Source organism: Homo sapiens, chromosome 4 (assembly GCF_000001405.40).
Source record: "Homo sapiens chromosome 4, GRCh38.p14 Primary Assembly".
NCBI lineage: Eukaryota > Metazoa > Chordata > Mammalia > Primates > Hominidae > Homo > Homo sapiens.
In genome coordinates this window covers 6,801,115-6,824,903 of record NC_000004.12, presented here as the reverse complement: position 1 = coordinate 6,824,903, position 23,789 = coordinate 6,801,115, and the positions used below count along the sequence as shown (strand labels likewise).

The 23,789-nt window shown below is 37.5% G+C and overlaps 1 protein-coding gene across 21 annotated transcripts in view; it reads right to left on the bottom strand.

The window, feature by feature from the left end:
* The window catches only part of KIAA0232, a 101,438-nt gene that overhangs the window by 59,261 nt on the left and 18,388 nt on the right, over window positions 1–23,789 (bottom strand). For 14 of the 21 annotated variants that reach the window (XM_047416446.1, XM_047416453.1, XM_047416442.1 and 11 more), the window contains one exon: window positions 220–719. In XM_047416446.1, coding sequence (XP_047272402.1) covers window positions 220–450 — 231 coding nt within the window. In that variant the 5' untranslated portion in view covers window positions 451–719. Of the gene's footprint in view, window positions 1–219; window positions 720–20,297; window positions 20,382–23,789 lie in introns of those variants that run through there. The other 7 variants (XM_047416450.1, XM_047416444.1, XM_047416451.1 and 4 more) reach the window with 2 other exon arrangements.

The window sequence follows — 23,789 nt, the reverse complement described above, 5'->3', positions numbered from 1 at the left end:
AAGTCTAACTATGGAGAAAATAACTGCACTTAACAGGGTGCTCAATGACACAGGCTGATTGACACTCCAAGGCAATCTTACCATCTGGTCACTGACAGGTTAAATGTTTGCACACACACATGAATAGCTCAGTTTTAAAGTATAAAAGTGCTTGTTTAAGAGGAATGTATACATACAGATACAATCAGTTTTCAGAAAACACTTAAAATATGTAAATACCTGTTCCTGCAGGTCGTAGTCATAGCTGTCATGCAGCAGAAGACTGAGGACATACCGAGTGTAAATCATGGCATCAATGCCACATTTCTCGAGCTCTTGTCCCAGCCAGGTCTGCACTGGACCCAAAGCATGAAGCAGAGACATTTCAGAAACAGACACAGGGCCTGGATAAGAACTTGAGGAGCTTTCAGATGGCAAACCATCCACAACAACTGTACAGATAGGGTACATGAATTTAGGTTGCCGACATCCTTAAAATGTGAAGCATTTTCTGCAGTTGATATTCTGTTGGTATCTGGAGGGGATTTTCACTCCAGTAAAAAGTAGAGATGCTTGACATGTAGGATAAGCATTTATTTTTGCTGGTAGTCAGCCACCTAAAACAGACTTTCCCTCTTCAGGCATGACTAATGAATCAACATCCTGATAGCAACATGCATGTAGATGTGATTTTCTACTTTAATTTCACATTGAGGCCAAATGGAAGTCTCCGGCAGAACCTACAAAAATGAGAGAGGAAAAAAAGTATGCATTATATATAAATAATAAATTATTGACCTTTTGAGGAAAAAAAATCAAATAAACTGTCCCTCTTTATTAAAATATTTTTGGTATCTTAGAACACTGATTTTTCCCCCCATCATCTTTGATATTTTAAACTTCTAAAATGAATCCAGGCACTGTGGTACCTTCCTGTGTACCAGCAAGTTGGAAGGCTGAAGCGGGAAGACTGCCTGAACCCAGGAGTTCGAGGCTGTCCTGCACCATGACTGTACCTATGAATAACCCCTGCGCTCCAGTGTGGGGAACATATTGAGACATTGTCTTTATAAATAAATTTTTAAAAAAACTTAAAACAACATTGTGAACTTTTAAAAAGCTTAGTATCATTTAAAATAAATGAAAATTCAGGAGTTGATGCTCTGCTTCTGCTCAATTATACCAATTTTTTTTTTTTTTGCTATCTCAAGAGATTGGACTAGTAAAATTTTGTTTCTGTAATGCTGAAAAACAACTAATAAATCACTAGTTCATATCTAAGTATAACGGAAATAAGTAGATGAAGAGTAATTTCATTGAAACATGGGTAAAAAAATTAGTTCTTTATGTTTTATATAAGTAATCAATTACTTTGTAAGGCTCGAAACTTTAGGACTGGTCATCTCTGATTTCATACAAATAAAGGTGGAGTACCAATCTGTTTTACAGCCAGGCTATACTGTTTTAACTATTGAAACTTGTCTTCTTGCTGGAGAGGATGTGGAGAAATAGGAACACTTCTTACACTGTTGGTGGGACTGTAAACTAGTTCAACCATTGTGGAGGTCAGTGTGGCGATTCCTCAGGGATCCAGAACTAGAAATACCATTTGACCCAGCCATCCCATTACTGGGTATATACCCAAAGGACTATAAATCATGCTGCTATAAAGACATATGCACACGTATGTTTACTGCGGCATTATTCACAATAGCAAAGACTTGGAACCAACCCAAATGTCCAACAATGATAGACTGGATTAAGAAAATGTGGCACATATACACCATGGAATACTATGCAGCCATAAAAAATGATGAGTTCATGTCCTTTATAGGGACATGGATGAAACTGGAAATCATCATTCTCAGTAAACTATCGCAAGAACAAAAAACCAAACACCACATATTCTCACTCATAGGTGGGAATTGAACAATGAGAACACATGGACACAGGAAGGGGCACATCACACTCTGGGGACTGTTGTGGTGTGGGGGGAGGGGGGAGGGATAGCATTGGGAGATATACCTAATGCTAGATGACGAGTTAGTGGGTGCAGCGCACCAGCATGGCACATGTATACATATGTAACTAACCTGCACACTGTGCACATGTACCCTAAAACTTAAAGTATAATAATAATAAATTAAAAAAAAAAAAAGAAACTTGTCTTCTTATATACCTAGGTTGAATTTCTTAGTTTTTATGACAGATGACACACTTTCAGTTTAATGGCTTCCCCCCAAATTAACATACTTTCAATATGTGAAAGTAATCTAACAATGGCTTTATTAAATCATAATATTCTTTATATTAGAGTTCTGGTTAATTTACAAACCACTAGAAAATGAAAACTAATGTAATGAAAGGTAAACCTCCTAAACTCAACTTTTGCATGAATTTTAACAGATAATAAGAGGGCTACCAAAAATTACTTTCAAAGTATTGTTAATAAATGTTAGTAAAAGCATCAAGTCAGAAAGACAAATACCATTACCCAAAGATTTAAGACTGAGTTTCTTGCATTTATCTATCACTATGTAGTAAATTTTACACACATTAAATATAAAGACAACAGTTTTAAGTTCACCGCAGGACTAAGTTACTAAATTAATGTGTCACTAATACATGTTTTGCTACTTTTAAAATCCTCTCTACTATATTATCTTTTCTGAATTATGACAACTAGATAAATTAAAGCGAAGATTTTCTGTAACTTTCACCAGCTGAACTTTTCCAACTGACTTTCAAAACATTTTCCATAATTCATTTAACATTTGGATCTCAGGATGCCAGAGATATTGTCAATTAAATAACACACTCAATTCTGGAGACGTGCAAGAAATATGAAGAAAACGACCCCTAGAACACTATAATAAAATTACTCAAACTTGTCATAAACAGAAAAATTTTAAAGCACTCAGAGAAAAAAGAAACATTAAATATAGCAAACAAAAGATAAGTATGACCTCAGTTTTCTTGCTGGAAACAATGCAAGTGAGCAGATAATGGAGCAAAAACTTTAAAGTACTAAAAGAAAAAAAAACTGTCAACCTAGAATTCTATACTCATTGAAAGTGTCTTTCAAAAAGATACTTGCACACTCGTTCGTATTTATAGCAGCACAATTTGCTATTGCAAAAATATGGTACCAGCCCAAATGCCCATCAATCAATGAGGGGATAAAGAAATTGTGGTATATGTATATACATATATATATATACACACACACACACACACATATATACATGTATATATGTATACACATACACGTATATACACGTATCTATATACACGTATATATATATAGATATGTGTATATATGTGTGTATATATATACACCATGGACTACTACTCAGCCACAAAAAGGAACGAAGTAATGGCATTTGCAGTGACCCTGATGGAACCAGAGACCATTATTCTAAGTGAAGTAATATAGGAATAGAAAACCAAACACTGTATGTTTTCACTCACAAGCGGGAGCTAAGCTATGAGGATGCAAAGGCATAAGAATGATACCAGTGGACTTTGGAAATTCAGGGGGAAAGGGTGGGAGACGGGTAAGAGATAAAAAGACTACAAACTGGGTAGAGTGTATGCCGCTCAGGTGATGGGTGCACCAAAATCTCAGAAATCACCACTAAAGGACTTACTCATGTAACTATCACCTGTTCCCCAAAAACCTATGGAAATAAAAAATAAAAATAAAAAGCAAAAAATTAAAAACTTTCAAAATGAAAGTGAAACAAATGCTTTCTCTGATATGCAAAAACTGAAGGAATTTATCGCCAGCAAATGCTATGGATTTAAATATCACCTCCAAGCCTCATGTTGAAATTTAACTGCCATTGTGATGGTATTAAGAGGTAAGACCTTTAAGAGGTGATTAGGTCATGAGGGCTCCAACTTCATGTCACAGGAGTGGGCTCCTGATAAAAGGATAAGTTCAGCCCCATTTCTGTCTCAAGCACTCTCGCCTCCTCTTACCCTCCCCATCATGTGATGCTTTCTGCCATGGCATGACCCTCACTACAGGCCAGTGCCATGCTTTTGGACTTCCCAGCCTCCAGGAACTGTGAGCCAAATAAACTATTCTTTATAAATACCTAATCTGTGTCATTCTGTTATAGCAACAGAAAACAGACTAAGACAGAACAAAATGTGGATCCATTCAAGGGAACAAAGAGCACCAGAAATAACAACATTTGTCTTATTATTTAAATATCTTTAAAAGACAATTGCTTAAACAAAAATAATACAAAACATTGTAGAGCTTTTATTTAATAACATACATATAAGTAAAACATAAGCCAACAGTAGGATAAAGGCCAGGAGTGGGGAAATGTAAGAATACTATTATTAAGTTCTTGTATGAAAATGGTTTATCATTTGAAGACAAATTCTAATAACATAGCTGTTAATAATAATGAATGTAAATGACCTAAACACATCAATTAAAAGGCAGAGATACACTGAATTTTAAAACAGCAACACCTAATTATATGCTGCCTATTAAAAAACAAACCCTCCACTTAATTTTTTCCACAGAATTCAAATTTATATTCCTAAATGTCAATCTGGTAGATGTAGCCTAAACATGCCAGCTTTTCCCCAAACTTCTCTACCTGCTCTACCCAAGTAAGATGTGGCGTCTTCTTTTTTCTTTTTAACTTTTATTTTAGATTCAGGGGGTACGTGTGCAAGTTTGTTACCTGGGTATGTTGCATGATGCTGAGGTTTGGGGTATGAATTATTCCATTGCCCAGGTACTGAGTACAGTACCCAACAGTTAGTTTTTTCAACACCTACTGCCTCCCTCCCTCATCACTATAGCAGTCTTCAGTGTTTAGTGCTGTCACCTTTACATCCACAAGTAACTGATGTTTAACTCCCACTTCTAAGTGAGAACACACAGTATTTTATTTTCTGTTCCTACGTTAATTCACTTAGGATATTATCCTCCAGCTGCATCCACGTTGCTGCAAAGGACATGGTTTCATTCTTTTTTTAATGGCTGCATAGTATTCCATGGTATATATGTACCACATTTTATTTATGCAATCCACTGTTGATGGGCACCTAGGTTGATTCCGTATCTTTGCTAGTGTGAATAGTGCCGTGATGAACATATGAGTACATGTGTCTTTTTGGTAGAATAATTTCTTTTCTGAGATGTAGCTAGTAATGGGATTGCTGGGTCAAATGGTAGTTCTGTTTTAAGTTCTTTGAGAAATCTCCAAACTGCTTTCCACAGTGGCTGAACTAATTTAGATTCCCACCAACAGTGCATGAGTGTTCCCTTTTCTCTGCAGCCTCATTAGCATCTGTTTTTTAACTTCTAATGACAGCCATTCTGACTGTTGTGAGATGTTAACTCATTGTGGTTTTGATTTGCATTTCTCTGATAATCAGCGATGTGGAACTTTTTTTATACATTTGTTGGCTGCTTGTATGTCTTCTTTTGAAAATTGTCTGTTCATGTCTTTTGCCCACTTTTTAGTGGGGTCTTTTTTTTCTTGTTGAACTGTTTAAGTTTCCAATAGATTCTGGATATTGGACCTGTGTCAGATGCACAGTTTGCAAATATTTTCTCCTATTCTGTAGGTGGTCTGTATATGAAATGGTGTATCTATTAATACTGTACACCGTTTACTCTATTGATAATTTCTTTTGCTGTACATAAGCTCTTTGGCTTAATTAGATCTCATTTGTCAATGTTCGTTTTTGTTGCAATTGCTTTTGAGGACTTAGTCACAAATTCTTTCCTAAGGCCAGAATGGTGTTTCCAAGTTTTTTTCCTAGGGTTTTTATAGTTTGAGGTCTTACATTTAAGTATCTATAATCCATGTTGGGTCAATTTTTATATATGCTGAAAGGTAGGGGTCCATTTTCATTCCTCTGCATATGGCTAGTAAGCTATTCCAGGACCATTTATTGAATAGGGAGTCCTTTTCCTGTTGCTTATTTTTGTCAACTTTGTTGAAGATTCGATGGCTACAGGTGTACACCTTTATTTCTGGGTTCTCTATTCCGTTCCATTGGTCTACATATCTGTTTTTGTACCAGTACCATGCTGTTTTGGTTACTGTAGCCTTACAGTATAGTTTGAAGTCAGGTAACACGAAACCACTAGTTTTGTTCTTTTTGCTTTGGATTGCTTCGGCTACTCTGGCTGTTTTTTGGTTCCACACGAATTTTGTAATAGTTTTTTTTTTTTTCCAGTTCTGTGAAAAATGACATTAGTAGTTTGATGGGAACAGTGTTGAATATGTAGACTGCTTTGGGCTGTATGGCCATTGTAATGATATCAATTCTTCCAGTCCATGAACATGAAATATTTTTCCATTAGTTTGTGTTATCCATGATTTTATCGTCCTTCTTGCAGAGATCTTTCACCTCCTTCGTGAGATGTACTCCTAGGTAGTGTGTGTGTGTGTGTGTCTATTGTAAATGGGAGTGTTCTCTCTTGAAGGAATCACTGAACTACTGCCAGTCCAGGGAGTGTATTCTTTTTTTTTTTTTTTTTTTGAGACGGAGTCTTGCTCTGTTGCCCAGGCTCAAGTGCAGTGGTGCAACTTTGGCTCACTGCAAACTCCGCCTCCTGGGTTCTAAAAATTCTCTGCCTCGGCCTCCCGAGTAGCTGGGATTACAGATGCCCACCACCATGCCCAGCTAATTTTTGTATTTTTAGTAGAGACGGGGTTTCACCATCTTGGCCAGGCTGGTCTTGAACTCCTGACCTCGTGATCCACCAGCCTCGGCCTCCCAAAGTGCTACAATTACAGGCGTGAGCCACTTCACCCAGCCTGGGAATGTATTCTTGATTTGGTTCTTGGTTTGAATGTTATAGGTGTATAAAATCCACTTTAAATATAAAGACACAAATAGGTTAAAAGTAAAAGGAGAAAAAATTTTACACTAACATTAATAAAAAAGCTAGAGTGTCTACATCAGTTTCTAACAAAAGTAGATTTTGGCGCAAAAAATACTAACAGAGATAAAGAAGGTCAATTCATAATGATAAAGGGATAGATGTATCAAAAGGCCATACCAGTCCTTTATATTATACATCTAACAGCATACTTGCAAAACATATGAAACAAAAATTGGTAGAACTGCAAAGATAAATAAACAAGTCCACAATTACACTAGATCTCAAAACCTCCTTGTCAGTCACTGCAAGAAGAAATACACAAAAAAACCAGTAAGGATATAGAGAGAACAACATTATTAACCAACTTGACCTAAGATAAACTGTATCTTTGGCCACAGAAAAGGTGCAATAAGCTTAAAAGAATTCAATCATACATGCATGTTCTCTGACCACATGGAATTATAACTGGTAACATCAAGATGTCTGGAAAAGCTTCCAAACATTTGAGAACTAAAAACATATTTCTAAACAATAGGGGAGGCTAGGCACAGTGGCTCACGCCTGTAATCCCAGCACTTTGGGAGGCCGAGGCAGGCGGATCACGAGGTCAGGAGATCGAGACCATCCTGGCTAACACGGTGAAACCCCGTCTACTAAAAATACAAAAAAATTAGCCGGGCATGGTGGCGGACGCTTGTAGTCCCAGCTACTTGGGAGGCTGAGGTGAAAGAATCACTTGAACCTGGGAGGAGGAGGCGGCTGCAGCGAGTCGAGATCATGCCAATTAGGAAGTACTATATTTTGAACTGAATATAAATGAAAACACAACCTATCAATATTTTTAGGATGCCACAAAAGCAGTCCTGAGAAAGAAATGTAGAGCACTGTCTACATTAGAAAAGGTCTTAAATCAATGATCTCAGTTTTCACCTTAAGAAACTAGACAAAGAAGAGCAAACGAAGCCTAAACTAAGCAGAAAAAAGCTCAGAGCAGAAACCAGTGAAATAGAAAGCAGAAAAACAATAAAACCAAAAACAGGTTCTTTAACCTCTAGCCAGACTGATCAGGAAAGAGAGAAGACATAGATTACCAGTATCAGGAATGAGAGAGGTGAGATCACTACAGATTCTATAGGTATAAAAATGAGAATAAGGCATATTAGAAAAACTTTATACCAATAAATTCAATAACTTAAATGAAATGGAAAAATTCCTTGAAAGATACAAACTACCAAAGCCTACTCAAGAAGAAACAGAATGAACAGTCCTATATCTATAAAGGGAATTGAATTTATAGTTTAAAATTCACAAAGAAATTGCTAGGCCCATATAGTTTCAAAGGTGAATTCTACCAAATATTTAAGAAAAGCGTAATTCCAATTCTATACAAACTTTCCCAATACTTCTCAAATCATGTTATGAAGACAGCATTAAACTGATACCAAAAGCCAATAAAGATATTACAAGAAACAGGCTGAGCGAGGTGGCTCACGCCTGTAATCCCAGCACTTTGGGAGGCCGAGGCGGGTGGATCACGAGGTCAGGAGATCGATACCATCCTGGCTAACACGGTGAAACCCTGTCTCTACTAAAATACAAAAAAATTAGCCAGGCGTGGTGGCAGGCGCTTGTAGTCCCAGCTACTCGGAAGGCTGAGGCAGGAGAATGGCGTGAACCCGGGAGGTAGAGCTTGCAGTGAGCCGAGATCACGCCACTGCACTCGAGCCTGGGCAACAGAGCGAGGCTCCGTCTCAAAAAAAAAAAACAAAAAAAAGACATTATAAGAAACAAAGAAGACCAATATGCCTCATGAGTACAGATGCAAAAATTTTACACAAATTTTCAGGTAATTGAATCCAATAATATATACATCAAACCCAGAGGATACAAGGATATCAGAAGAATGCTGTTCTACACAATTGTCTACCACAGAACCTCTAAAATATTCGTTTCACTGTACAACTCAAAGGCCTTAAAAATTGACACCATGAAAGATTGGATTCACTGTAAAGACTGATATATTGTTTTAGTTTTATTATGTTTACTTTAAAATGTGATCTCAAGCCAACCATAAGATTCTTTTTGTTGTCGATAGAGAGTTCACATTTATTTAGCCAAGTGAAAGGATTCAAGGAGGTGAGACAAAATCAGCATACGAAGGCAAAATAAAGCAAAGCATATTGAACGCCCACATGATCTCAAAGCTGGTTAAAACCTTTGCTTGCATTATTATCCTTAAGAGAACCGTTCTTACAACTTGTCCAAAATCTGATTGCATGAAATTTTAAAATAACTGGTTATATCTATAGTCATGAGTGATTAAAATCTACACAGTACAGACTGCAGAGGACCAAGGAAAAGAAAGAAAAAGAAAGTAAAGGCTGACAAGTAGCTTCAGACTACTCTACATTCATCTATGCAGTACTTTTCAGTGGATAGTAATAACTGGGGTTTTTAGACAGAAGCACCAACCACACGATGGCTTCTTCCTGTACCATAATGACAGATCTAAATGTTCTTGGAGCTAAAGAGTATTCATTCTCCTTGCTTTAACTCAAACTGTTAGCAGATGACCCACGTACAGAATACCGGGCACTAAGCTTTCTCTACCTAAGCAGCAAGCCTTTGGTAGAGGGGTAAACATTTGACCAAATTAGAGACTATTTCTAGTTGTGAACTGAAAGGAGACTCCTAGGTATGTTGGTTCACGAATTATCTGTTTAATTAAAACTTACTTCACGTATGATCCACCGTGGTGAAACTTACCTCTAATGGTCACAGCACTGAGGGTCAGTGCTGGTTTTGACAAGCACAGGCAAAAACCCATGTTTATTCACCTGGCATGATGAGGAACACAACTGGCAAACACTCAAATTTCAAACTGTCTATCTGCCTTTACACTCATTCCAAACATGGAATTTAGTCAATACGAAGTTAAATTTTAGTTTAAATTCTATAAAAAAGTTTTAAAGAAAAAGCACCACTATATATCAAGTGTTTTTTTTTTTAACGTTCCCTTCCCTCTTCAGAGGCTTGTGCCAAGAGAAAAGGACCTTCAAATCATCTTATCTTTCTCTTATGCAAAATTAGCCCAAATCATCCTAATTCATGTGTATTCCCACATGGAAACACTTATTTTAAAATTTGTCTTTTTTACTTTAAAGTTTAAATCGTTTCTATTAAAAATGTAAAAACAATATAGATAGTTCCCATAAAAGTTTATATATCATTTGAGTTATCTTTAATTCACGGAGGTAGGATGGCGAGTGGAAAGTACACTAGTTCAGCAATCATAGTATCTTAGGTTTTTGCACACAGTCCCACCTCTGCCACTTAATAGCTGGCTTTTGTGCCCACAGCTTCCCAGGGTCATTGTTTTCTCATCTGTAAAACAGAATAATGTATACTGACTCTTCCTACCTTTCAACCTCTCACAAGTCTGTTGCATGGGAAAATGAAAAGTCTATCTGTGTATTTTGGGGTATGTGCATTTCTCCAAATAGCATACAAATTGAAGGTATTGTTAAAGACTACCACACTCAAATTGTTTTTATATGCTTAGTATTACAAGTTCTGTTACTAATAGGATTATATGAAGAATAGTAATTATTTAAAATATGTTAGCCTTTTAGAACAAAATACTCAATTTCTTTACTATCCTTAAAAAAAAAAAACAACCAACTATGAGATCATCTTCATTTATAATAATCTAGTTCTAGTCCTATCAGGGCCTTTCCTCTTTCAGGTAACATTGCAGTTCTCTACAACAAAGTTCTAATATGACAGTGCAAAGAACCCAAGGTGGTTAAGTGCAAAGGAGGAGGAATATGGAAATACAACAACCTCTCTTTGCTGTCCAGTTTTCTACTTGTTTTTAGAACACAGACATCTGCAGAGCAATCTCCATACATTTAAACTACGTTATCCCCAAGCAGTCCAGAGAGAGAGCTCAGCACATACATATACTTGCAGTTGTACACCTAGTACACAACTGCAAGCCCTTTTAAAGACCTTAGGATTAAAAATAGCCTTGGTCCAATGAAAATTATCCCCTAAAGGCTGGAACAACTCTATGCAGGCTCTGGGGTCAATATTAACATTGCTCTGTGCTGCCCGGCAGTGACAGTGTGATGGAGTAAGGCGAGAACAGACGTCAAGCCAGGCTCACTCCTATGGCAGCCCCCAGGAAACCCTGCACTAAGTTTAAATACATGCCACTTTGGGTCTCCAGGAGTCAGAGCCCTGGGCATGAGAGTTTATAACCAGCCCAGGGACTTAACTAAATTTTTAAATGAAAGTATTTAATTATTTATCTAGTCTACATGTTTTCAGGGTGATATAATAAACCCCAAATGGTTTGTCCATTAAGGGGGAGAAAAAAACAACAGACCTGGCCAGGCGCGGTGGCTCACGCCTGTAATCCCAGCACTTTGGGAGGCCGAGGCGGGCGGATCACAAGGTCAGGAGATCGAGACCATCCTGGCTAACACGGTGAAACCCCATCTCTACTAAAAATACAAAAAGTTAGCCGGGCGTGGTGGCAGGCACCTGTAGTCCCAGCTACTCGGGAGGCTGAGGCAGTAGAATGGCGTGAACCTGGGAGGCAGAGCTTGCAGTGAGCCGAGACTGCGCCACTGCATTCCAGCCTGGGCAACAGAGCGAGACTCCGTCTCAAAAAAAACAAAAAACAAAAAAAAAAAAACAGATCTAAGTACTTAAATTATTATATAAGTAAATACTTTCCAAGAAGTAGACCAAACATAATGCCACACTTCACACAAGTAATTTAATAATGAAGGGTTTTTTGGAGCAGTGAGGAATTGTTTTGAAGAAGTTCACAAATCTTCTCAAAATCTCATCCCTTATGTAATAATGTTCCGAGAAACATGGTGCTATCTTTTTATATTCTATATGACATATATTACTAAAAATAATTCAAATTACAACTCCTATTGGTGTTCCTAATTATTTAGAGTGCACTAATAGCATTTCTTATAAGCTATAAGAGACATACTATCTATAGTTCAGTTTCTTTAGTGTTCAAGTACAGCAGACATGTGGCCAAGTTAATTTAAATATTAAGATAGTTCCCTTTTTTGTAATACACTGTAAATAATTTTAGGTGTGATTACAACATATGAAAATTATTTCAAAAAGCATACTCTCTTTCTGACATGGCTGCATAAATACTATCTGTGGACTGTTCTCTCAATTTACTTTTGTTACAGCACAACTGATCAAAAAGAGCACCAGACAGTAAACAGTCACAAACTGGGCTTCTCTGGGCAAAATGTAAAATGTGGACCTTGTGGAGAAAAATCTGGGCAGCTCTATTCAACCGATATATTCACTTGCCGATATATATTAGTACCACAGCACTTCTTTCTTTCTTCTCATGTTTATCATATATATCTTTATTAGCAAAGTTTTAAAGTATTTTTAAAACATAAAAATAGAAGTAGACACTCATACATAATTTCAGCACCTAATATTCACTGTTAGTATTTTGGTGTGCTTATTAACTAGTGTTTTTTCCTTTGCATAGGACTTTAAATTTATTATTTCTATATATTAAATAATAACATACATATACTTTCATATTCTGCCTTTTTCACCTGGCATTATGTCACCCCCATGGCGTTCTAAGACCCTTACTGCACTGCCCAATATGGTAGCCACTAGTCACATGTGGCTATTTTAAACTAAAAGTCAGTTCCTCAGTCACACCAGCTACAGTTCAAGTGCTCAACAGCCTCATGGAGCCGGTGTGCAAATATAGTACATTTCCATAATCACAAAAGTTCTACTAGACGACACTGGTTTTGACCCTCTCCCCTCTAGCAAATGACTATGTTGAGCTTAATAAAGACTCATTAGCTCTTTCAATGGAGTTCATATGCCCCTCCCCACGTTCCAGGAGGTTGTCCAAGACACTACCTGGAAGAAAGGCTACTAATCACAGCTACTCTGAAATAACACAATGTGCCCAGAAAGAACTGTTTGAGAGAACTGGAAAACATCTACTTTATGTTTGATAGGTCTCAAATTTCAAAAGGTCAAATTTCATTACATTTCAATGTAATCATGGAAGGTTCAATGACAAAGTCAGACTGTATGGAATAACAAGAACAACTAAAGCCTATTAACAAAACAAAGAGAGAACTGAGAATAATTAGGATAAGGGGTCAATAACAAACTGAGGGAAAAGGTTAAAATAGGGTAGATTATGCAACAGAAACAACTCCCAAATTACAGTAGCCTAACACAAAGGTTTATATCTTAAAAAAAAAAAAAAAAAAAAAAAAATTAGGCCAGGCACAGTGGCTCACACCAATAATCCCGGCACTTTGGGTGGCCGAGGCGGACGGACTGTTTGAACTCAGGAGTTCAAGACCAGCCTGGGCAACATGGTGAGACCCCATCTCTACCAAAAAAATACAAAAATCAGCCAGGCATGGTGGCTTGCGCTTGGAGTCCCAGCTACTCAGGAGGCTGAGATGGGAGGATCACTGGAGCTCGGGAGGCAGAGGCTGCAGTGAGCCAAGATCATGCCAAAGCACTCCAGCCTAGGTGACAGAGTGAGACCCTGTCTCAGAAAGAAAAAGCAAAACTTATAGGGTACAGGTGCAATTTTGTTAACATGCATAGACTGCATATTAAGTCAGGGTTTACGCAATACCTGGCTTTCTATGTCTGGCTTGTGCCTTATCACTTAAGATAATGACTTCCAGTTCCACCAACGTTGCCGCAAAAGACACGATTTCACTCTTTTTTTATGTCTGAATAGCATTCTATTGTGTGTATAGACCACATTTTCTTTATCCATTTATTCACTGATGGACACTCAGGTTGATTCTACATCTTTGTTATTGTGAATAGTGCCGCAATAAACATACGAGCACAGGTATCTTTCTGACACGTTCTTTTCCTTTGAGTATCTACCCAAAGTAGATACTCAACAGTGGGAATGCTGAATTGAATGCTCATTCTATTTTCAGTTCTTTAAGAAATCGCCATACTCTTTTCCATAGAAGCTATACTAATTTATATTCCCACCAAAAATCTTTAAGAGTTTCCTTTTCTCTGCATCCGTGCAAATACTTGTTTTCTTTTTGTTGTTGTTGTTGTTTTGTCTTTTTAATAATAGCCATTCTGACTGGGGTAAGATGACATCTCATTCTGGTTTTGGTTTGCATTTCTCTGATGACTGGTGATGCTGAGCTTTTCTTCATATACGTGTAGGCCATGTGTATGTCTTCTTTTAAAAAAAGTCTATTCATGTCTTTGCCCACCTTTTAATGGGATCTTCTTGTTTTTGCTGTTGTTGAAGTGTCTGAATTCCTTGTATATTCTGGATATCAGTTCCCTATCAGATAAATAGTTTGCAAACATTTTCTCTCATTCTACAGGCTGTCTCTTCAATCTCCTGCTGATTTCTTTTGCTCTGCTGAAGCTTTTTGGTTTCGATAAGGCCCATTTGTCTATTTCTGTTTTAGTTGCCTGTGTTTTTGAGGTCTTAGTCACTGATTCTTTGCCTATATCAATGTCCAGAAGAGTTTTCCCTAGGTTTTATTCTAGTATTTTTATAGTTTCAGGTCTTAACGTTTAAGTCTTTAATCCATCTTGAGTTGATTTTTTGTATATGGTGAGAGACTGGGGTCCAATTTCATTCTTATGCACAGGGCAATCCAATTTTTCCAGCACCATTTCTTTAAGAGGGTATCCTTTCTCTGATGTATGTTGTTGGTAGCGTTGTCAAAGATCAGTTGGCTATAAATATGTGGCTTAATTTCTGGACTCTCTATTCTGTGCCATTGTCTATACATCTATTTTTACACCAGTACCATGCTGTTTCGGTTACTATACCCTTGTAATATAATTTGAAGTCAGGTAATGTGATACCCCCAGCTTTGTTCTTTTTGGTCAGGATTGCTTTGGCTATTAGGGCTCTTTTTTGATTTCATATGAATTTAGGATTTTTTTCCTAATTCTGTAAAACATGACATTAGTATTTTGATAGGGGTTACATTGAATCTGTAGATTGCTTTGGATAGTACGGTCACTTTAATGATATTAATTCTTCCAATCCATGAGCATTGGATGTTTTTCCATTTATTTGTCATCTACAATTTCTTTTATCAGTATTTTGTAGTCTTCCTTGGAGAGATCTTTCACCTCCTTGGTTAAATGTATTCCTAGGTACCTTGTTTTTTTATAGCTATTGTAAATGGTACTTCCTTCTTGATTTCTTCCTCAGCTAGATCGTTATTGGTAATATATAAATATTACTGATTTTTGTATGCCGATTTTGTATCCTGCAACTTTACTGAATTTACTTATTAAATCTAGGAGGTTTTTTGGTGGAGTCTTTAGTTTTTCTAGATATAAGAGCATATTATTGGCAAACAGGGATATAATTTGACCTCCTCTTTTCTAATTTGGATGCCTTTTATTTCTTTCTCTTGCTTAATTTCTCTTACTAGGACTTCCACAAAGGTTTATATCCTTCTCATACTATGTGTTCATCCTGGATTGGCAGGGATGATCAGGGTAATCACTCATCATAATCATTCTGGGACACAGGGTGACAAAATGGCCATTATCTTGAACCCTGCTAGTCTAGGGGGCCAGAGAAAATAAGATCTGCACCAAAGCTGGCACTGGTACTTTGAATGCTTCCTCCTGGAAGTGAGCTACTCACATTTTATGAGTCAAAGCAAGTCTCTTAGCCTCACTTCACTTTAATAGGGCAGGTATCACTAGCCCTAATGACCACTTCAAGGGGTAGAATATGAGGCTGTTAATATTAAGGAAACAACTCTGAAGTCTAACATTATTGAAACCAGCATTCTGGTAAACACAGACAAACTATCAAAGACAATAATAATAGGATCATAAAAGTTTCAGAAAGCACAGACACGGCTGAAACACTAACACCCAACTGGCAATGGAATCATTCCTGCCCTGCCTTCCTGAAGAAGCCCTTTCTAATTATGTAAGGGCATACCACTGTCTTCCTCCCAACACTTATAGAGTGCTGGCTGTCCTCATGACCTGCTGCCTTGTGATGATGTCCTTTTATACTATTCTCTAACTGCCTCCTGGGAATGGGTTCCTCATCAAATAGGCTTAAAGTTCTTCAGGCCAAACTGTGACATCCTCCACATGTACCATTTAGTAGAATGCTTAGGCCTTGGCAGGTGATCAAAACTGTGCTGAACTAACTACTTCCCAAATCTAAATGGAGGAGAATAAATTCTGAAAAAGAGAAGTTTGGTAAATAAAATGATATTCATAATACTAGCAGGTGGGAGAAAAAACCAACTCAGATCACACTCTGAGTCCACAGGCAGGGACTAACTAACATAGGAATTTTAACTCATTCTCTCACGATCCCATGTACTAGAGGTTTCTTGTGTACAAGGCACTGTGCCTGGTGTCAGTGATATCGAGACAATCATGACTCTCTCAGGATTTTCCTTTAGGTATTTACCATCCTGTATTAGCAGGCTTTCGCCTTATGTAAAGCAACTTGTACTCTTCCCACAGAAGCCCTCTACCATTCCCTTTGATCTAGTATGGTACTTCTGCAAGTCATGCTTGAACTCTCTATATTTTTAACTGGTCCTTTCTCACTACAAAGTTCATACTCACATTGCTGGTGTGCTCAGTACCCAAGACACTGCATTACCTGCAACTGTCTTTTCATAATTATTCAATTTGGGTGTTTACAGGACTTTCACATAAGGAAAAGACTTGAGGGGGAAGGCATAAAGGATATATAACATAAAGTAAAAGAAAGAATATAGAAAAGAGCATAAAGAAAACAGATATTTGAAATATTAAGACTCTGGCTTTTGGACTCTATTACTTTTCACCAAAATCCTAAATACTATTTGCCTGGCAAGCCAGAGAGTGCAAACATACAATTAAGTAGTTATACATTTATAAATAATTCTTGTCTGTTATTTTCTTTTTTCTTTTTTGAGACATAGTCTCACTCTGTTGCCCAGGCTAGAGTGTAGTGGCATGATCTCAGCTCACTGAAACCTCTGCCTCCCAGGTTCAAGGGATTCTCCTGCCTCAGCCACCCGAGTAGCTGGGACTACAGGTGCACATCACCACACCTAGCTAATTTTTGTATTTTTAGTAGAGATGGGGTTTCACCATGTTGGCCAGGCTGGTCTCCTGACCTCAAGTGATCCACTTGCCTTGGCCTCCCAAAGTGCTGGGATTACAGGGATGAGTCACTGTGCCTGGCCTTGTCTGTTATTTTCTGATCTCAGCACATGAATTTGGAACTGAAGATAATGCTTATTCTCTTTAGTAGGTAGCCTGGCTCCAAAGCCAATCTACAGCCAGAAGAGAAAATCCATAAAGAATCTACAACCCAAACTGGAATTCAAGCACTGAAAACAGGAACCAAGGGCTATAAACTATGTAAACCGGTTTACCCTAGGTATCTGAAAAGCTACGTAGAAATGGACAATCAGACCTACAGTTTTCTTCCCCATTCTAGAAGTGTGTCAAGTCCCAGGAAATGAATAAGGCTTTTTAAAAAGTAATGTAATCAACAAAACTAGTGTGAGACTTGAGTTCTTTCTACAAAAAGAGGAAAAACTGCATAAAGATTGAGAAATTCCATGCTTACTAGTCATCAGAAATAAACACGTAAGTATATATGCTCCAGTGACAATTAAAATGAATTATTAATATTTTCATAAACAGGATTGTTCTTATAGATAAGATTACTACTTGATAGCAAGAGAAGTAGCAAATATTTTCATAAATTGCAAGCCTGTAACAGATTTGGTTAATCTGGTTGATCTTTATGTTTAAAAGATAAGGAAGAAAAGCTGGATGCCATGGTGTGTGCCTATAATCCTAGCTATTGGAGAAGCTGAGGCAGGAACAACACTTGAGCCCAGGCGTACAGGGCCAACTTGGGCAACATAGCAGGACCCTGTCTTAAATAGATAGATAGATAGATAGATAGATAGATAGATAGATAGATAGATAGACAGACAGACAGACAAAAAGGAAAAACCAATTTTGTAATGATAAAGTGTAGGTGAAAGCGATCAGTTCTACATAGATTCAGAAGTACTAAACAGACTTCTATTAAAACAAAACAAATGAGAGCTAGATCTAGTGTGTAATGAGACTAAATAAAAGGGAAAAGCTTTCTATGCAACCTGGATAAACTTTCCTCTACTGAGGAAATGCTACTGTCAAATGCTCACAGACCTGAAAGTTTCGATCAGCCTGTATGTTCTTATTGTTTTAATTCTTTTTTTTTTTTTTTTTTTTTTTTTTGAGAGGGAGTCTATCTAGCTCTGTCACCCAGGATGGAGTGCAGTGGCATGATCTTGGCTCACTGCAAGCTCCGCCTCCCAGGTTCATGCCATTCTCCTGCCTCAGCCTCCCAAGTAGCTGGGATTATAGACGCCCACCACCACACCCGGCTAATTTTTTGTATTTTTAATACAGACGGGGTTTCACCATGTTAGCAAGGACGGTCTCGATTTCCTGACCTTGTGATCCACCCGCCTCGGCCTCCCAAAGTGCTGGGATTACAGGCATGAGCCACCGCCAGGCCTCTTATTGTTTTGTTACTGTTTGAACTTATTGTTTAATTGTACTATGGAGATGAACTGCTTGTGCAAAGTTACATTGTTTTATGTCTAACTTATACTTGATTCCAGTTATTTGATGATTCTTATTCATCTGTTAATATTTCTGGTTTGAAAAGCTGGACTGCCATATTAAAAATTTTTTTTTACAGGTTATCAAATTATAATAACCAATGTAGACATTTAGTTCACTTAGACCAATTAGATGTCAAAATTCTTTAGCAGGGCTACAAAATGGCAGTTTTTATGCCTTCAAAAAGTTATGGAGATTTAAAAAAATGCCTTTTTTACCTAGCAGGGGTAAACCTCACAGCAGACACTTTACAGGACAAAAGGAGAAAACATTTGGGCCCAAGGGGAAGAGGAAAATGTATACACTTACAACTGAAGCAAATCCTCCTCCTTCCTTGCAAAAGATAACAAAATAGCAACTAAACAAAATGCAAAAACAAGATAAAACAAAATTATTATGAAATTCTAAAAGCTTTTGGAAAAATTGTTGGAAAAGGGACGAAACAACTAAATTTTAGAAATTTAAAAATTTCAATTAGGAAAAATGGAAACATCTACAGATTAAGAAATGCAAAATTTCAAAAACCCTAAGCTTACTTGGAAAAAAACTAAAATAAGTAATTTTTACACTTTTTGAAAATGCAAAAAGCTCCAACATGATGAAACCCACTTTGTCAACGTTGAAACATTTTATCATATAAAATACTATATCATAGTGTACCAAAATAATTTTACAATGTGATACTGTTGGTCCTCAAAATGTCTGGGCATATAAATTCTACAGCTTTCAATTACTAAACTCAAAACCACAAATATCTTCTGAGTTTCAATGAGTGAGGTAAAGGTAGCATAAAATTCTGTAACTCACTGGTAAGACAGTGAGTTAACATTTTTAAAATTACTATAAAAGCCACAGCCAAGTAATACAAATTATAGTTCTCCAAAACGGACTTAGGTAAGAAGCAATACTTCAATAATGTGTTTATATCAGTCAATAATCTAATTCTATATGAAAAGTTTATATGGATTATCTGATTCATATCCTAATAGTTAAAAATTTTAAAGAGTCCAAATAAAATTTTCTGTTTATGCAAAAAGATACACACTAGAGAACTCAGAATAGGATCAAAGTAGTACATATGTTCATTTCTCATCCATTAATTATATGCTTCCAACATTAAATCAAGCCTTTAGATATGGTTCTGAAGATAACTATAGTAATTCTTCTGGACCCTAGGAAGATATTTAAATAAACAGTGTCATCATTTAAAGGATAACTTGCTACACAGTTTCCCCAAAGTATACTCTGGGTGATATAAAAATATATTCCTTTGCCATAAACGTCTTCATTTTGCATAAATTAGGGAAATATCAAAGCTGAAACAAGAGCAGGTTTATTGCAGGACATCTTGAAACCTTTAATAGGCTAATATGCACCCGGAACCTCCAAGAAGGAGAGCATTCATTCATTCATTCATTGACCCGTTTTGCTTCCTTGGAACACAGCTTGGGAAACAGGAGATGTTCTAATCAGAAAGAATTTTCTCCAAGGCCCAAGTTATTAATATAAGCAAGGCATAGATCACCTGACCTGAGGTTTTCATATCCAGAATTCCCAGGATTAAAAAGTTAAACTGAAGATGTAATTTAGGAATAAGATCATTAATTATATTCATCTCCTTTCCTTTAAATAACTTGCATAAATTGTACTATTCTATACAGTAAATCAATTAGTATTCCCTTTTATATGGTATCAGAAACTTCCACATTTTCCCATTTCCCACATACACTTAGGGACTTACTGGTTGTCTTCATTCTCAACGCATTCTCCGGAACGGTTACAGGGGCAGAGTCCACCGCGCCCTACCTTTATCAGTGTACACTACCTACACAACAGTGAAGCAGGCATTTTAGTATCAAAGACGTACCTACCATCATTAAAATGATCTTAGGTTTCTTAACACTTTACAAAGCAATCACAGTTTTTAATGGACCAAAAGACAGCTGTCTGATAATGGGATGTTAATGGCAGAGCTTCCACTAGGTAATGAACGCAACTGGTCAGTGGCTCTAAACTGAGGATGGCAGAGTAGGGCACACTAGTGTTCATGTACCAGAACAAGAGGGAGCACTCCAGGGGCTGGTGGAGGGAGGCCCGCTAGAGCAGGAATACCTGTATTTAACAAACATTTGCTAAGTATTAGGTACAGCTGCTAAAAGTGTTAGAAATGCTACCAAATTTAATTGCACTTTAAGGCATCCTTGAATCTGGGAAACACATTGAGAATTCCTACTAGCTGTGATGTTTATCTTATGGAACTCTCCCCAAATAAATAAAATAGATATATTTCTCAAAACCTCAAATACAAATACTTTAAAGACAGGTTAACATGTAACATTCTCAAAAACACATTTTAAATACTCAGCAAAGTGCCACACTTAACAAAGGTGATACATCTTGGATTGGAATTTTATGTTAATTAAAACCTTTCCCCTCAAAAATGACTATCTGTAGAGCCCTATAAGGATATCTCCTTAAAATTTCAGATATGTTCAAGTCACAAATACTATGTTACAAGGTAAATGTAAAGGAAGAAAATAGGTAGGAAAAATACCCACTGTATGGCTCAGAAAAGGAAAAACAAACATGGAAAGAAAATAGCTAACAATCCAAACATTAAACATAAAAATCCACTTCCAAATGACTCATGTCAAATATAAAATTGGTTATTCCTTTTTTATAAATTCTGGTCAAGTTCTTTAACATGAAATACTTGACTCTGAGGTTAGTAAAAAGTATTCTCTTTAAGTGAATATGAAATTAGACAACTCTAGAAAGAAATTACTATACTTGAAATTTTAATCAGGGTAATCTTATCCAAATGAATCCTTCAAGTATTTTCTAACTACCAGTAACTACGTAACTACTGGAATCTTCCAACTATTACCTAACTACCAGTAACCAGATAACTTGAGAGCTGTGTGACAGACCCTTGAACATTCATGTTTCAATGTTTGGCATTCATGTTTGATAATGTCAAAGATTTGTGTAATTTATCAAAAGTCACCCCCTACAAATCTTTCTCTTACCTTGTCTTCTCAATCTATATTTCCAACTACTCATGGAATATTTCCATTTGAACTTAAGGGAGCTGGGCTTCAATTTATATGAGAAAGTCCATATATATATATATATATATATATGCACTCATTTTAATTTCTTTCAAGAGGTAAAGTATTCTTCTGTCATCCAGGCTGGAGGTGCAGTGGTACAATCATAGCTTACTACAGCCTAGAACTCCTGGGCTCAAGTGATCCTCCCACCTCACCTTCCACAGTAGCAGGGACCACAAGCATGCACCCACCAAACCTGGCTTTTTTTTTTTTTTTTTTTTTTGGTCAAGACAGAGTATGTTGCTCAAGTATGCCCAGTATGTTGCCTAGGCTGGTCCTGAACTCTTGACCTCAAGTGATCCTTCCATCTCAGCCACCTAAAGAGTTGGGATTACAAGCATGAGCCACTGCCCCCAGCTATATGCACTCATATTCGACTATTACTCTTCTTTCAACCTTCTGTCATTTTTTCCTTCCTTGAGAGAACCTCACACCAATTAATTTCATTCCTCTGTGCTCCTTACATCACCAACATACCACACCTTGCTCTATACCTGAATCACCACTCTGTATTCTATGTTATAGCAAAATCCCCTTTCTGTCTTTATGTCCTTGGGGAAGACGTGAAGATGAAGCATTCTGGTTGGAGTCAACTTCCATCAGAAGAAAAGGTTAATTGTGCACTGTAACTCTGTTCGTACATAAGACACACACACACATAGTTATTTAGTAAGGGGGCTGGTGGGTTGGGGGGGGTTGAGAAGAGTCACAGAGAAAGAGAAAGAGACTTACCCCATATTTCTCCAGAACGCCAACCAATGAGTCAAATGAAATCAATCAAAAAATTTCTAAGAAAAATATTGTCCAACCATGGCACGCTGTGATGTACAACCCAGACCCTCAACTGAAGGCCATGCAGCCCCAGCTGCTGGGAGTGCTCCGTCAGCCCCTTCAAGTACTGCTGTGGCTACAGAGAACTGCCTCACCCGACATCTTGCCCTCTTCCAGGCAAGTCATCCTGACTGACTCAGAGAGCGTACAGGCCTGGCTACCCAGCCCAAGCCGGGACAGCTCCCACGGGCTATTCTAATGGGGTTGGCCAAGGCTATGCTATAATTGGGCATGCAAGGTAGTTCAACTTCTCCATTCCCTGAGTCTGGACCCTACGAGCAAGCCCTAATCAACATTCTGCATGCTAAATTGTCTGCATTTGCTTCCCAAAGTACCCGCCTTCCCAGAGAACCCAACTTGTGACACTCATGAAGGAACTAACAGCCCTATCAGGATCAAGGGCCCCTTTATTGCATAAATAAATACCCACCACCATTTAGTGGGTATTTATTATGTGCAATACACAGTGAGGGATACAAACTTTATCTGGAAGGTAATGGTGGCATGTATACAAATAACTTCTAAAGCTAAAAGAGTATGATTTCAGCACATGCACAAAATGATCATCCTCGCAGGCCCTGTATTTTTCTTTGTACTGCAAATAAACCAGAATCCACGTTTCTACTTTATGAAAACCCTATGTTCTACATTTAAAAACATGGATATGCTAATTAAAGTCCTAAGCACTGTAAGCCACTTAATAGCACCTTTCTCTTTTTTTTTTTTCCTTTTCGTCCTGTCACCCAGTCTGGAGTGCAGTGGAGCAATCATAGTTCGCTGCAGCTTGGAATTCCTGGGCTCAAGCAATCCTCCCACCTCAGCCTCCAGAGTAGCTAAGACGACAAGTGTGTGGCCATCAAGTCCAGCTTTTTTCTTTGGTAGAGATAGGGTCGCACTACATTGCTCAGGCTGGTCACGAACTCCTAGGCTCAAGCAATCCTCCCACCTCAGCCTCCCAAAGGGCCAGGATTACAGGCATGAGCCACCATGCCTGGCCTAGTGGCATCTTTTCAGTCTCCTATAACCACCATCCACTTATTCTTTGAACAAAGGTGAACTGAACAAAGGTGAAATGAATCTCTAGAACTGCATTGTCCAATGAATATGGTAGCCACTAGTGGCTATTTACATTTTAATTAATTAAAATTAAATAAAATTGAAAATTCAGTTCTTTAATGGCACAAGCCACATTTCCAGTGTTAATAGCCCCATGTAGCCAGTGGATACTGAATAGAAAAGACAGTGAACATTTCCATTATCAAACAAAGTTCTACTGGACACAACAGGTC